Below are 15,751 nucleotides of genomic sequence, written 5' to 3'. Positions count from 1 at the left end.
AAACTACGGTTACTGCTATTCCAAATGGAGAACAAATCTAAAAAGAATCAAGTAATTCCACTTCCTTGTATGATACCTATATAAGCTCTGTGGGAAAGCCCATTTACTTTGCAACTCTTTTATTTTTGAAACAAGATAGATTTTTGCACATATTAGAAAACTGGATTCCACTACAAGCCAAGCAGAAGGCACTTCAAATGCTATTTTTTTGTTGAGGGAATTTGTTTACAATTAAATATAATTCTCTCTCAAGTATATTTAATTAAGAAGCTCTAATCTCATGGGACTACAAGGGGAAAGCTTGATGGCTACTTGTAAGGGTTTTTTAATGAATATATATGACAGGACTCTAGGACTTGTGTCTAAAGCAATACCAAATTATGAAAACAACACCGAAGGCAGACATTGAGCATTTCTTAGCCAATTTTCTTCTCTGAGAAAATTCAGCAACCAGTTCTGAAAATCTGTGGATATGCTATTCTGGATTATGATTCTGGATTCTAATTTATAAGTAATTTATTCAGGGTCATCTAAAGCTAGCAAAGCAAGATATAAGAAACTATATATTTATGGATCTATGAAACTATCAAAATATATGACTGCTTGATCAATCTAGATCTTTTAAATTTGGTTTAGCTTGTTCCTCATTTCTCCACCACCAATTTTTCAAGGCACTATTCCCTTCACCTGGAATAGCATTTATATTTTGTGACTCTCACATTCTATCCACCAAATTATTTCTCAAAATTCAGTTGTTCTGAGAATGCTTCAGAGATAAAAGATCCTCAATCGTTAAGACAACCAATATTCAAACCTCTGGGTTTTCATTTTAGTTTGATCTCTCCCTGATGTGTCTTTTAGCTCTTTCTCATGTTCTTCCTGAATATATTTAGTCCAAAGATTTCTGACCCTTTGTGGGCTCCACATAAGAGTATGAATTAGTTTAAAATTATATGTAATTTCTTACTAAAAGAACATCTTTGGAAATTGCTCAAGTAAATATTTTAAATTGCTAAAGGTTATTTTGTCATTTTTTTTCTCTAGTTTTTCTTGCCCCTTCCTTCCCCAGTCCAGTGTTCCTTACTACCAAATGCAGAATCAGAAGAACAGTAGTTATGTTCAGTGAGGGAATCCAAAGAAATTCATTCACTCTCAGCAGTTTTCTATTTGTTCACTTAACCACTTAATTTCATCTTTTACTGCAAAGACCACCAAAACTGTGTGCTGCATCACTACTGTTTACCCAAAGTTGCCCAAACTTTAGGAAAGTGGAGAACCTTCCATAGATTTGGCCTGATTTGCAGCTGTGAGGGGAAACAACATATATACAGTTGGCAACCCTTGACCACAAACCAAGTTCTATTTACTGATAAACATTAGTTTGGATAGGCATTATTTCCTATCTCCAATGACATATTAACACATGCACACACCAAGATGAAGTTTCCCATCTCGGATGACACAGAAACACATGCAAGCACTGGGACGAATTTATCAGCAAAACAAAAGGAAAGTGCAATGGACTGTGAATGTTAGTGTACAACTCACTGTACTGCTTCAGGCAAATCACAACTTCTCTGTGACTCAATTTCCACATCTCTGAAATCAAAGATGATCTTTATAGCTCTGTGATTTTATTCTCCTCTGACCAGAAAAAAATTGTTTAAACACCTGAACATGATAATTTACTTTATTCCAGCATAAAATTCATAGTCCCAAGATTGATTGTCCACTGTTTAGTCTTTCCTAATGTCCTTTCCGGAAGTACTATCTTCCAAAATACTTCAGGAAGCTTGTCATAACTCAGGTTCTACAAGGTCAACGCAACCTACATAATTCCATTTGTAAAAAGGTGTTTTCTTGCATTGTGTAAATACTCAACCTAAAAATCATTCCAACTGCTGTGTTACCTCAACAATTTTTGAAATAGAATATTGAACCTTTGTTATTGTGATGGGAAGTTTCCTACAATTCTGGGTTTATCTCAAATAATGCGTGAAAACACTGATACTATTGAAAATGGAAACAGCTTCACTGCTTTTTTTCATTTTATCTAATGAACACAGAGGAAAGGCTTAGATCTGAAAAAGAAAAGGGCATAAATGAGACTCATAAGAGGGCTATTTGTTACAAATTTTAACTAGATGCAGTTTGGTTAAGGACACTAAGCAGGAATGTCAAATCTTTTTAAGATGTTTAAACATAATACGTTATTTCATACAATGAGTGGTTATCTGCCATTGGATTTCTTATGGTGCTTTATATACTAACACAGTGAGTTACAAGATGGTATAGATATATGGAATTGCATGCTTATTAGCCAAGCCATGACACAGAAGGTTATTTGCGTTATATGACATTGACTGAACTGCTGCTAAGCCCCAAAAAGATCATGCTGGCAACAACATAGTTCCAGGCATCAAATCCCCAGATATTGGTTCATTTTGTTTAAAGCATCACACACTGTATTCAAGTCGCTGCGAAGGTCCTGCACCACATTTTCAATACTTCTGGTGTCTTTCAGAATTTCAATACTCTGTGTGTAGGGATTGAAGTATACTGAGAAGGGACGGGTAATTGACTTTGCAAAGTCCCTGCAGAATAAACAGAAGTAGAAAGAGATGTGATCAACCCTCATTGGTACGAGGGATAGATAAAAGGAAGGAATAGAGACAGAAAAATAAAAAGTTATTTTCTCTAGCTAGGAGGAAAAAAAAGTTTACCTCATCTTTTCTTTGGCTTCTTCAAAACTTTCTGAAACAAAGTAGGCTTCCTGGAAGGTGGTGATAAGGCATTCCTGTAAGCAAGTTGTCTTTGGGTCAAAGGCTTTCACACATGCCTTGTCAGAAAGGGCGTGCTGCAAAATATACCACAAAACCTGTTAAACTCTGTAATGAGACTTCCGAAGCTCCATGACATCACATTTTTACAACACATTTGATAGCTCGGTAATCCTACAGAGCTGCTCAGTTACTAGTCTGTCATGAAATATGGAACTCTCCTGTGTGCAGGGTAAATTGGAAACTAGGATTTTGTTTGGTTGTTTGTTTGTTTTGCTTTTTTAAGTATGCTAGGTACTGTGGGAGAAAATGAGATTGTGGTATTATTTAATTTATTACCAGCCAAATTCATACTGAAGGACAGTTCAGAGCTATTCCCCCACAGAAATGGGATTTTAAATCTATGCTATGAATAGAAGCAGGGACAGCATAAATATGCTCCAAAATTTATTGCTATAAGCAATGTACTAAAATTTCACTTAAATGGCAGAAGTAATAATTATCTGCATGGAGAGGTAATTGGGGCTCTGACTAAACTATTTGTCTATTCATTGGGAGATATTTTGAGGCCAGGTACTGTGTATCAACAGAGTCTGGAGTGGGCCTGTATATTTGAGGATACTTAAAAAGCATTCATTTACCTTCCACCAAGTACAGCAGAGCAATATACAGCAGATAAATATTGCCACTTGAGGAAAAAAGGAGCTAATATTAATAGTCAGAGTTATGCCAAGAGCAGGTATTAGAAAAACAGGAAAGCTGGCGTAATTACTCTTTGAACCATCATTAGCTCCGTTCAGCTCACTACATGACTAGCACTAAGAACAGCAGGGAACAATGAATGACTATATTCTCAAGATAAATTCAGTGATGTTAAAAGTTAGTGGTCATTTCCTGCCATGTGCTGCCTATTTATAGACCCTAGATTGATGGTTCTAAAAATGCAATGTGCATAAGAATCACTGAGGAGCTTATGAAAATGCAGATATCCAGGGTCTCAATTTCATTTGGCAGGTCTGGATGAAACCTAGAAATCTTCATTTTAAAGGCATCCAAGTTGACTCCAATATAAGTGGTTGTGAACTATATATTGAGAAATACTCCTCTTAATTCTTTTTCTTAATTTAAGGGGGAAATTAGTTGGGAGAGAGAGGCAGAGAGAAAAAATGGGGTAGCAGAAACTGCCGTGAACTGAGAGTTGGAAAACTGGGGCTTTAGTCCAGGTCTAACTGGGTAACCTCAGCAATCATTCAACCTCCCTGTGCCTCCATTTCCTCAACTGTAAATGAGAGTTTTAGGCGGGAAGATTCTGAAGACAATCTCTATCCCAGCCTCTGGATTCCACCCATTATACTTTTCTACCTTCTCAGTCTCTAACAGCTAAGGTTTCCTGGAGAAATTCAGAAAACCCTTTCCTGTTCAATATTCTTCGTGCATTCCTCCAACAATTTCAAAATGCATGGAATGATTTACAGCCCTCCATGAAGAAGTCTGTGGTTCCCTAAGTTTGAAAATGCAATTGAGAACCAAAAGACTGACATGTAAGAGAAAGGGCACCCTGCATGTGATTTGCTTTCCTGCAAAGTTCCATTGTCCAGATAAATGCATATATGAATCACAGAATGCAGAGGGCCTCTCAGCGTGAACTCATTTTTTTTGGCCCACAGAACAACTTCATTATAAGCAGAAGGTCACTACACTTGCAAATGCATTTGTGCTAGATTCAATGCAGGGCAGTGAACATCAAGGGATTTTGGTTCCACATGACCAATAATTCTGTCCACAATTTTAGAAACATATTCACAGTTTCAAGAAACAAAATGTCCCTTTATGAAAGTTGTTGCCCCTCTGCAAAAAATTGGCTTCCTGTTGGCTTGCCATGATTTTCAGAATTCGAATTAGCTTTCTTTGCATCCGTACACTCTGGTTACATTTAATGTACTACGTTGTTCTAACAGTCCATTCATCCATCAGTACATATGGAAAGGACTGTGGCTGGCTCAATGTGTTTAGTCTTCCTACTCTCTCATCCCTGCATTCAGGGTCATGGCCAGAGTGGTAGCAGAATAGGCTGTAAGAACATTAAAGCCATGGCTCCCTTGGGACATCCTTGCTAAGCTAAAGACATTTCACTGGGTCAAGGACAAGCACAAGAAAGAAGTGAAACTCATCTGTTTGTGTCTCCATTGCTTCTATAAGACATTAGCAACCTTAGCAGTCACTATGTATAGAGGATGCCTCCAGAGGTGTGTATGCAATGACAGAGACTGAAATCAGTGTGGTTTTGGAAAAAATATCATTTTGTGACAATTCCACTGGATAGCCAGATACGTATTTAGTCATTTTAACAGCTAAAAAGCATTAAAGTAGATCAAGAAAAGGCCCAGAGCATACGGCACTCTGCCCCAGACTTCAAGAAAAACCAGTGGGTTCACACACATGTAATTTGAGGCAGGCCATTAGGAATATAGATCACGCTTGACCAATGTAACATTTAAAGGAAAAACTGGAAGTTAATTGTCTTAAGTTCTCAAAAACGCAGCCTACCCTCAGGAGTCTGCTATGCGTGTGATATGCTGGTTACCTGCTGGAGACCTTTCCACCCATGGAGTATGGGACCAGTGTTGCTGTTTGGCTGTTAATGAATATGGGGGTAATAATGGTACCCATGGATTAGCCTGGAGAATGACAAGAACCTGGAGATGGGGGAGCAGCCAGTGAATGAAGCCAACAAATGAAGTAATGTCACCCATATAAATGGCCTCATTTACCTGACCATGAGCTGACTGTGTGCTGAGTTCCAGGAACATCCATGCAGCCCATGAAGTCTCCTATCTCTGAATACTACAGTGTGTCCCAAGGGGTATAAAATAGCATCCATGTCTTTGATTCCAACTTCTATTGCCCAATGGAGAAGTCTGACTGAGTTTGCTTCTCATTTTCTATCCAGGTCTCTCTCTAAGCCCCTCAGTTTTGGGGAGCAGCTATTGTACCCTCTTCTCTATGTCCAGAGTGGATTCTCTGTAAACATTGAACCAAACTACTTGATGTCCCCAGGGAACTCTGCAGTGATTCTGTCTTGAAATGTTAGCAGTCTGATATCCTGAAGTTTGCAAGAATTAATCCAACTTCCTGCAGAGAGAAGCTTTATAATGCTGACAGAATCTGGTTGACAATCTTTTACTTTGAAGCCATTTTTAAAGTACAGGAATGCTTGAGAGTCACCTTCTCTCATCAGAACACCCTCTAAAAGGACTATTTTGGATTTACCCGTAGTGCTAGAGACAAGGGCACAGGGCTGGGAACCAGGAGACTTGGGTTCTAAATGTAGCTGTCCCCAGAGGCTAGACGTATAATATCAAATGAGTGAAACTACCCCATGTTGGGCTGCAGCTTTATCTTTGATAAACTGAAAAGATTGACCTAGATGAATTCTAAGACTCTTCTTGAAATATAATTTTAACAGGCTGCAAGTACACAGCACTCACACCACCTTTACCTCCCTCCACACCAGCCACAGTAAATTGACCATAGCAGCCTTTCCCACTGGGCCTGCGGATGGATTTCCCACCCTTCTCCACAGAGGCGGCTACTACCAATTAATTGACTTTGGCGCACAAGTTAAGACTTATTTGCCATTCCAGCTTTTTGAATATAAAAATTTCTTTTCAATATCAAAAATTTCCCAGAATCCAACTATTAGTAGACAATACTATAAGGTAATTAAAAATACAGGTCTTTATGGTTAAGAACACAGGTCTTTACAGTTAAGAATTGAGGTTTGAATCTGACTCCATCTCTACCTAACTACGTGTCCTTGGGCAAATTACTTTACCTCTGTAAGCCTATTTGAGTATTCATCTGGAAAATGGAAATACTAATAGTCATATCTATAACCTGGGGTTGTGGTCAAAATTAAATGAGGTAATGGATGCAAAGTGCCTGGCATGGGAAGTGCTCAGTATATTTAGTTATCATCACTAATTCAGTCCAGAGATGATGCTTTGTGTACATATGTGTTCAGTCACACTTTCCACCATTTGTGCAGCCCTTCTCCCTCAGGGGTCTGAAACCCGTAGAGAATTAAACGGCCCCAGCTCTGAGGCTTTCAGGTCCTAGACTATGATAGTGTCTGCCCTGGGTTCATCAGTTTAAAATCTTCCTTCTTCCCAGACACCTGCTTTTTCAATGACAGTTATTATCTCGACTATTCTATATGCAAACCCTGTGACACTCACTATCTATATTAAGACTGGTTAAAGTTGGAAAAAAAAAAAACTCAAGTGTGAAGTCAGGTTTGTGAATAGTTTGGGCCCTAGATTCTGAATAAGAATTTGCAAACACTTTACACTCACATCACAGTCATCTTTTTCCACATCAAAAGAACAACAAATATATACATACGTATATGTGTAAATGCATTATGTGTGTATATAATATTTTTGAGCCTCCCTCAAAGGCTCATCCTGCTAAACAAACACAATGTGACATCTATATCCCCATTGCCAAATTAGGCAATGATGCATTACACTTTTTTAAATTAGCGATTAGGCTTCACCAATTTGAATAAGCTGCAGGGTTGAGGGAACAACCTCCATCTTCAAGCAATCCTTCCACAAAAACCAAAGACAGAGTTTCCAGCTCCCAACGTCCAGCATTTACTCTGTCATTACCAACACCACTAACTTCATGAGAAGAAAGAGCAGGAGGAAGGGACTCGAAAGTCATCTGAACAGGGTAAACGTGAGAGCTCAGCAGCAGCGAGTCCTTACTCTAGTCACACCATTGACCAAACAGATGACATCAGAGAACCTGCAAGGCCCTTGGGCCTCTTCTATACAGACTAGCACTAATTCTGACCACCTCCCAGAGTTGCTGCAAGTGGTAATAAATACAAATTGCTTGTAATAAATATAAAGCTATTCTGAGAATAGCCATTCAAGCTTGATAATAGCTATATCAAGGCAACACAATAAATTTGCCATGCAAGATATCCTAAAACTAAAGCCAAAAAATAATAAGTAAATTTGTTTAAACCATCAGCTTTTTCAAAACCCAAAGAGCGAAACAGATGTGTTTATATGTAATATGTCAGCAACTACTATGGGGTGGATGCTAAAAAAAAAAAAAATCTAATCTCTGGCCTGAAAGATATAAATATCTAGACCTTACCTTTACTCATGAAAAAGGAGTAGAAATTGCCTTTTGCTTTTGAGATGGGTTAACTTTTTGATACAAGACTCAGCCAGTTCATTGGCTAGCAATCATTTCCTCACCACCTGAAGTGAACAAACTTTACTGTCACTTCTCCAAGAGAACTGGACTCAACAAAGATCTGTATCATCACTTTCTTAGAATTTCCCTACTACATTCCAAGTTCTTGAAATCTTGGACCATCAATTTTGTGTTTGTTGAACAAAATTAATGAATAAGCAAGCAAATAATATATCAAAAAAACGATAGACATATAGTTAGATCAACTCAGGATAAAGAGAAAAAGTGTGAAAGGAAAGACACAAGCTAGACTGTGGGTAAGGCAATAATCCTACTTTCAACCTTTTCTTTAAAGTCAGTGTTCCAGGTGACTCAGCTCATTGTTAATTGTTCTCCACAGTTATGAAAGGTATGGAAAAGCCCCACCCAAATGCACTTTTTGGCATTCCTGTAAGTACACCACAGAACAGATCATTAGAATAAGAGAGGGGCAACCATTGCTGTGGGGGAAAAAGTAGTGTTTATGGTTGTAAGATTTATGCTAACTTTTACAAGCTTTTCCATATTTATTTTGTTTCTATCTTCAAAAAGAATTAGTATTGTCAAAAAATAAGAGGAAAAAATGAAAGTTATCTGAACTATAGGTATACCACTCGGAAGTACTTGGCCAGCTCTAAAGAACAACATCTATGTCTCAGGAAAATTTAGCCCCTTATAGCACAAAGTATAGAATGTGTTCTGTTTAAGAAGAGAAGATGATTGTGGATACTTATGTAAAAGTTATAAAGGTGACACCAAAACCTCCAGCAACCCAATCTAAAAAGTTGTAAAGATGACCCCAAAACCCTCCAGTAGCTGGGACTTACATTTGGGCTGCAGTTGGAACAGCATAAAATATTTTACTGCAAAAGGTAACTGCACTCAAAACTGTAAGCTTGTTTACACAGGAATTATGATAACGCTATTAATAAAGTTATCCCTACATGGGTCCAGGACTATCATTTTTTCATTCAAATAAAGGTTAAAAGTACTCAGAAGTGCTTTGAGAGGGCTCTGGGTACTTTCACAAGCAGGGCAAGGAGAATGTGGGGGAAGAGATGCTAGGGAAAGCATCTTGTGTTACGTATTCTCTGTGAAAACTCAGAAGATATTTCACATAGAAAGTATTTCTGAATTGTAAAAATGGTCCAGTGTAGCAATCTTAGGGGTGTTGAGGTATAGAAATTGGAGAATGGAAGAATGTTAATGACTAGAGGTAATGGACCAGAGCAAGAAGGTATTCTGTGAACAATGCCCTTCTTGGTACGTATTTCTGGCTGATTTCCATTTCCAGACGATTCTGTCCACACCAGTAGGAACAAAAACAACAGATTCATCCTAGTGCTGCCCACACATGCCTCATTAACCAGACCAGAAGATCCTGTGGAAAGTCAGGGCCATGAGAGAGATCCGTTTCCTTTGTTTCTGGTGTAACTTATAAACCGTCTGAGGAGGATGTAAATAGACACAGCTCAAGAGCTACATCATTTTCTGACTCTTTTGTTCAGGGAAATCAAGAAACACTCTATAGAGTGCATGCCCTTATTGGGGATATGGCATTATGCTGTTGCTGTGGGCTTTGCCCACTGCACTAAGATTAACACCAAATAGATTCTTTGTTGAGAATTTACTTTTTAAAAAAATTACCATACTACATCAGGTCATCAGTTTTTTGTTAGGTTGAATATTATTATCCTCTTTTCCAGTGAACCCCAGACAGTTCTTTCAATGGACCAGGCTTCAGCTAGAATCTTGAGGGTCCACACGTGGCTCTCCACTGACAGACTGGTGCACCCCATCCTTTCCTTATTTACCCTTTCCATTCCTCAAGAATCAGCATGGACAGCAGGGCCCTTGACAGGAAGGCTTCTCAGGCATGGCCTAATATGAGCCAGGCACATTTCTTTCATTGTCACACTTTTTGTATTATGTGATTGGTTGTTTATCTCTTGCACTAAAATGTACTGTAAACTCTTTGATGGCAGGGATCACAGGGAGTGCAGCCTAGTGGTTAGGAGCTCAGATCCTAGAGCCTAGATGGCTGGGATTTGAGCCCAGATCAACACTTATTAACTGTGTGATCTTCGGCAAGTTCCTTAATGTCTTTATGCCTCAGTTTTCTCATCTGTGATATAAATATCCCTTATCTCATTGGGTTCTTATGAGCATTACATGGGTTAATATGTCTAAAGCACCAGAAATATTGTCTATTTAAATGCTTGTTCTGGCTGTTATCATTATTTTCTTTTTTTTTTTTTTTCTGTCAGAGTCTCCTCTGTTCCCAGGCTGGAATGCAGTGGCGCGATCTCGGCTCACTGCAACCTCCGCCTCCTGGGTTCAAGTGCTTGCCTCAGCCTCCCAAGTAGCTGGGATTACAGGTACCCGCCATCATGCCTAGCTAATTTTTGCATTTTTGTAGAAATGGAGTTTCACTATGTTGGCCAGGCTGATCTTGAACTCCTGACCTCAGGTGATCCGCCCACCTCAGCCTCCCAAAGTGCTGGGACTACAAGCATGAGCCAATGCACCTGGCCTTTCTTCTTATTCTTCATCATTATTACTTGTCTTTTTATCCCCAGTGACTGCCATAGTACCTGGCACTAGGTGTTCAACCAAATGTTTGAGGAATGAATGAATGAATGAATGAATGAAGTCATAAAATGACCAGACTCAATAAAACTACAATTACTTTGCATCTTTCAATAATGCAAATGGCCAAAAAGTACCAATAACTATATACTTCCCATTTATATTACATAAGGATAATCAATGCTCAAAATAAAAACTCAAGAATGGTCCACAATCCTGACCTTAGTCTGAATAGTCAAAGAAAGATTAAATTATTTTCAGTACTATTCTAGATTGTGTATCACACTGCATTTAAAATGCATCAAAACTTGCTATCCCCCCATGGTATAAATGGCAATTCTTAAAAGACCAGAATATTTAAATTATCAGAATATTCCAGGTCTCAACATTTCTGGAAAAAAAAAGTGACCATTTTATTGTATTTTAAAACAAAGTGACATTCTTTAGGCACCATTACACATAATAGATACCTCTCTGATAATATACTTGTTTGGTTTGTTTTTCCAAATTGTTTATGTCCACACATGTTTTAATGCACATTAATTTTGAAGAAGCTGAAACAACATCAAACTCCCTTTTAGGAAGTAGATGCTGGGGAGTCCAAAGGAGCCAGGGAGGTGATGGAAATCAGAGTAGCCAAGCCACATTCGCAAGTGAATTTCAGTCAGTAGGATCACTGCTAGCTCATGGCCCACTTTTTAGCACTAAATTTAGGCCTGCCATTTGTTACCCAAGATTTGGGCATACATTTGTCATTGCTGTTGATTTGTACACGTGGCTGCTCATCCATTTGAGTCACACCACAAATCCAGAAAGGCATGACCCATTTTCACAAGTGCGAAAAGTGAGGTCGGCACCCACATCCGAGGTGCCAAATCCTCTATGTTAAATATTTATGGAGTATCTGTGAGTAGAAATGCTCAGACAAACAAATCAATATTTTCCCTGACCTTGAACCAGTTTGCATGGGAAGGGTATTTTCATTCACAGCTTCATACCTTTAATTCTCCAATGGAGGAAAGGAGTCCTGCTCCATATGCCCGCAGTTGCCCTTCTTGCTTGCAAAGGCCAAACTCGATTGTGAAGAAATAGCACTGAAGAAAAACGAACACATATTCAGTGAACTGGTCAATGAGTTATTTGATAGGATTAAATGGCACCCAAAACAAAATGGTGGGCTGTGCATAATTTCTTCAATATTATCAATTTAAATACATTTAAATCAAGAACATTTATTGAAATCTATTCTCTTGCTCAGTATTCTCTCCCTAGGTTGAATGTATATGAAAAAAGTATTAACTACTAAGAGTCTTACGCTTCCTGAATTCAGAAGCCCTATGAGTCAAATTATATCCCCTGCAATCATTTTAAAAACAAAAAACACAGATGTAGAAATGAATAATTATATCACAATGATACCTCCGTAACAATATGCTATATATTTACCAAATTTTGTTTCAGTGACATAAATCAGTTTATGCAAATGTGGAAAAATAAGTTGGAATCCAGTAATCGCTAACTGTTTTTGGCAGTTTGTTTATTTATTCAACAAATATTCATTGGTGCCAGTGCTTGGTAAAGAATTGTGGTAAAGAAACAAGAGAGCAACCAAGAAAGCAAGTACCTCTATATGACTACCAAATTACCAAAACCACAATATTAATATACTTTTTTAGTAAAATCTTAAATATATATCTATGTTTGCATATGTATATGCACATGTAGGTTTATATATGTATTTGTGTATGTACATGCTGCTCGACTTACAATAGGTTTACATTTCAATAAACCCAATAAGTTGAAAATAATATCCTAAGTTGAAAATGTGTTTAATACATCTAACCTGCTGAACATCCTAGCTTAGCCTAGCCTACCTTAACAGTGCTCAGAACACTTACATTAGTCTACAGTTGAGCAAAATCATCTAACACAAAGCCTATTTCATAATAAAGTGTTGAAAAGATCGAAATTCCAAATTTGAAGTGTGTTTTCTACTGAATGCATATCACTTTCACACCATCATGAAGTTAAAAAAAAAAACTGTAAGTTGATCTAATATAAATTGGAAAGCAGTGGGGCGGATGTTATACACACATACACACACACACACACACACACACACACACACACACACACTTTATTGGCCCAAGTTTTATCAGCATCAACTACTACAACTTCCCCAGGACATTAATATCTTCAATTGCTTCTGTTGGGTTTAAGAAATCAACCTAAACAGACGGAGGAATCTTTGCACAACGAGAAGAAAAAAAAAGAAAAACAAAAAACTCACAGTGCTGTTGAGAGAGGCTGAACTCGCACTATTTTTGCTCTGAAAGAAAAGTGAGATGCTGACAACAAGCAATAAAAATTCCATCAAATTAGCACTGTCCTGCATTAATGATGATAGAGCACTGAAGGTGTTAAGAAAGGAATTTAAACACTCCTGAAAAGGGGCAGAAAATAATAATTATTTCCAGCACGTGTCAGTTTGCTCTATTTTTATTTGGAGGCTAAGATGTCCCTTGGTTCAGGAAGGTTATATATTTTTTTGATGTGAGGGTGATCTCTGAAGTTGAATTTTCCAAAGCTCTGCAGCACTGAGCTGGACCCAAAGGACTGATCATTTCCAGGTCATGGAGCTTAACCTCCAGAAGTAAAATTTTTTTTCCTGATTCACCTCCCAAAGAGGCTAAAATTACAGCCCTAGACTGGGCGTGGTGACTCACACCTGTAATCCCAGCACTTTGGGAGGCCAAAGGGATCAGATCACCTAAGGTCAGGAGTTCAAGACCAGCCTGGCCAATATGGTGAAACCCCATCTCTACTAAAAATACAAAAATTAGCTGGGCGTGGTGGTGCACCTGTAATCCTAGCTACCCAGGAGACTGAGGCAAGAGAATCATTTGAACCCAGGAGACGGAAGTTGCAGTGAGCTGAGTTCGTGCCATTACACTCCAGCCTGGGCAACAAGAGCAAAACTCCGTCTCAAAAATAAAATAAAATAAAATAACAGCCCTTCCTACCCTCCATCACAACCTACAGCACTTACTACCACTCCTCCTTACTCTGTTCCATCTTTTCATTCTTTCTATGAAACACTTCTTTACATAGACTGCAATTTCCATATGCATGATATGTGCTGCTTATCATCTATCCCCCAACACTAGACTATAAACTCCAAAAAAGCAGGTGTCTGTTCATTTAGGACAAGGTTTTCCAAAGTCAGCACTATTGACATTTTAGGCTACATAATTGTGGGAGTCTGTCCTGTACATGGTAGGATGTTTAGCAGCATCTCTAGCCTCTACTAACTAGGTGCCAGTAGCACTCCCACCCCCTTTGTAACAACCAAAAATGTCTTCAGACATTGGCAAATGTTCCCAGAAGAGCAACATCATCCTTGGTTGAGAACAACTGATCTAGACTATTGTCTGAAAGATAACAAGAGCCTAATAAGCACTGGATTAATAAATAAACGGTAAATGAATTAATGATCTCTAAGTTAAGCTGGCATGTGGCAGAATGACCTGGAAGAAAGAAACACACAAAGGGATCCAAGTTCTAGTCTGAGCCCTGCTTCTCATTAGCTATGTGACTCCAACCCCGGGGTTGTAGTTTTCCTGCCTGTGACATCGATCCATCCATTCATTCATCTATTCTGTGACATCCATCCACTCATTCATTCACCTATTCTACAAATACTTCTTGAGCAACTATTACATGCCAGACTCTGCCCTAGATGCTAAGGATATGCAATGAACAAGGCAACAAAGCCTGTGATCCCATGAAGCATATATGCTACTGGGATGAGACAGGCAATAACAAAAACTAAAATCAATAGCCAGATAATGTCAGGTGGAATACATTCTATGTATAACAAAACCATATAATATGTCAAATATTAAGCAGGGAATGTGACTATTTTAGAAAAAGGGTCAGAGACAGCTTCAGTGAAGGGGTATTGTTTAAGCTGCAAACAGCTTTAAAAGCAGCTTTTCATTAAGAAATTAAAAAGGCAGCTGTGCAAGGATATAGAGAAAATGATGTTCCTAGAAGGGGGGACAGCAAGTGCAAAGACCCTGAGGCAGGAATAGATTTTTATTTCCAAGAGCAATGGGAAGTTGCTGGAGGGTTTTAGGCAGGAGAAAGATATGTACTAACTTAGCTTTCAAAAGGTCATGGAGGTACTGCATGGAAAATAGATTGTAGGGGAGCAAAAGTGAGTGGAAACAGACCAGCTAGATGGCAGTGGCACACAAGAGTAGTGAGTGAACACGAGTATGACTTGGGCTAGGGATGGCAGGGGGTTGGGAGAAGTAAATATCGCAGAGCCCTTAGGAGAAGAACCAAGATAAATAATGTAAATACATGTTGAAAAGCTAAAATACAGCCTCCAAGTATATCCTCTAAAAAATTTGCATAATTCTGGGTGCAATGAAGGGAAGTAATCATACAGTCATAGAATAAAGCACAAAGGCTTGGAAGTATCTGGGATGTTCAGCTCTCCTATTTTACCAAAAGGAAAATTCAAGTTGAGGAAGATGAAGTGATTTACCCAGGAGCAGTCTAGATGGTGACATTTAAGAGATCTAGAGCTCAGGATTTTAAGGAGCTTGACATCAACATCTGTCACATTTTAAAGTTTCTAGATAAAAAATTAATAGATGCATAATTTTCCTTCACAACCAAATAATGGAGAAATAAAAGTCTAAAATGGAGGAAAACTAGAATGTCACAGTATCTTCTTAGTGTGCCTTTGGCTGATTTTCCTAATTTATATTGCACTTACAACACCTGACACGAAATCCTTGGAGCCTTAACATTGAATATAGAAGAGCTCGTGGAAAAAATGTGCTATCAAATTCAAAAGCATCCAAAATACACGTTCAGAGCCAGCTACAGGAGCGTTTGGGTCAGCCTATTAAGCACATGTTTAATTTTTTTATGCTGAATCAATGCATACATAATTCATGGTCACATTTATGATCTGAACCAAAACACGCTAAGAGAGCCTCTGAAAAAATCTGGTGTGCCATAGACACAGTCTTCACATAGATTTGGCAAACCATCCTAGTTTAAGGTAGGAATTAAAAGGTAGGTCTGCATCAATACAACTAAAGATTCAAAGA

General features: G+C 38.4%; 1 protein-coding gene across 1 annotated transcript in view; it reads right to left on the bottom strand.

Annotated features, from left to right (window-relative positions):
• The window catches only part of TPH2 (tryptophan hydroxylase 2), a 93,596-nt gene continuing 79,519 nt past the window's right edge, over positions 1,675-15,751 (bottom strand). Inside the window, exons 9-11 of the mRNA NM_173353.4 lie at positions 11,621-11,716; positions 2,724-2,857; positions 1,675-2,594 (exon numbers count right to left, since the gene is read on the bottom strand). Of these exons, the coding sequence (NP_775489.2) occupies positions 2,420-2,594; positions 2,724-2,857; positions 11,621-11,716 (405 nt within the window). The 3' untranslated portion in view covers positions 1,675-2,419. The remainder of the gene's footprint in view (positions 2,595-2,723; positions 2,858-11,620; positions 11,717-15,751) is intronic.

This window comes from Homo sapiens, chromosome 12 (genome assembly GCF_000001405.40).
Source record: "Homo sapiens chromosome 12, GRCh38.p14 Primary Assembly".
Lineage (NCBI taxonomy): Eukaryota > Metazoa > Chordata > Mammalia > Primates > Hominidae > Homo > Homo sapiens.
The sequence above is the reverse complement of the archived record's forward strand: the minus strand, read 5'-3'. Positions and strand labels throughout refer to the sequence as shown.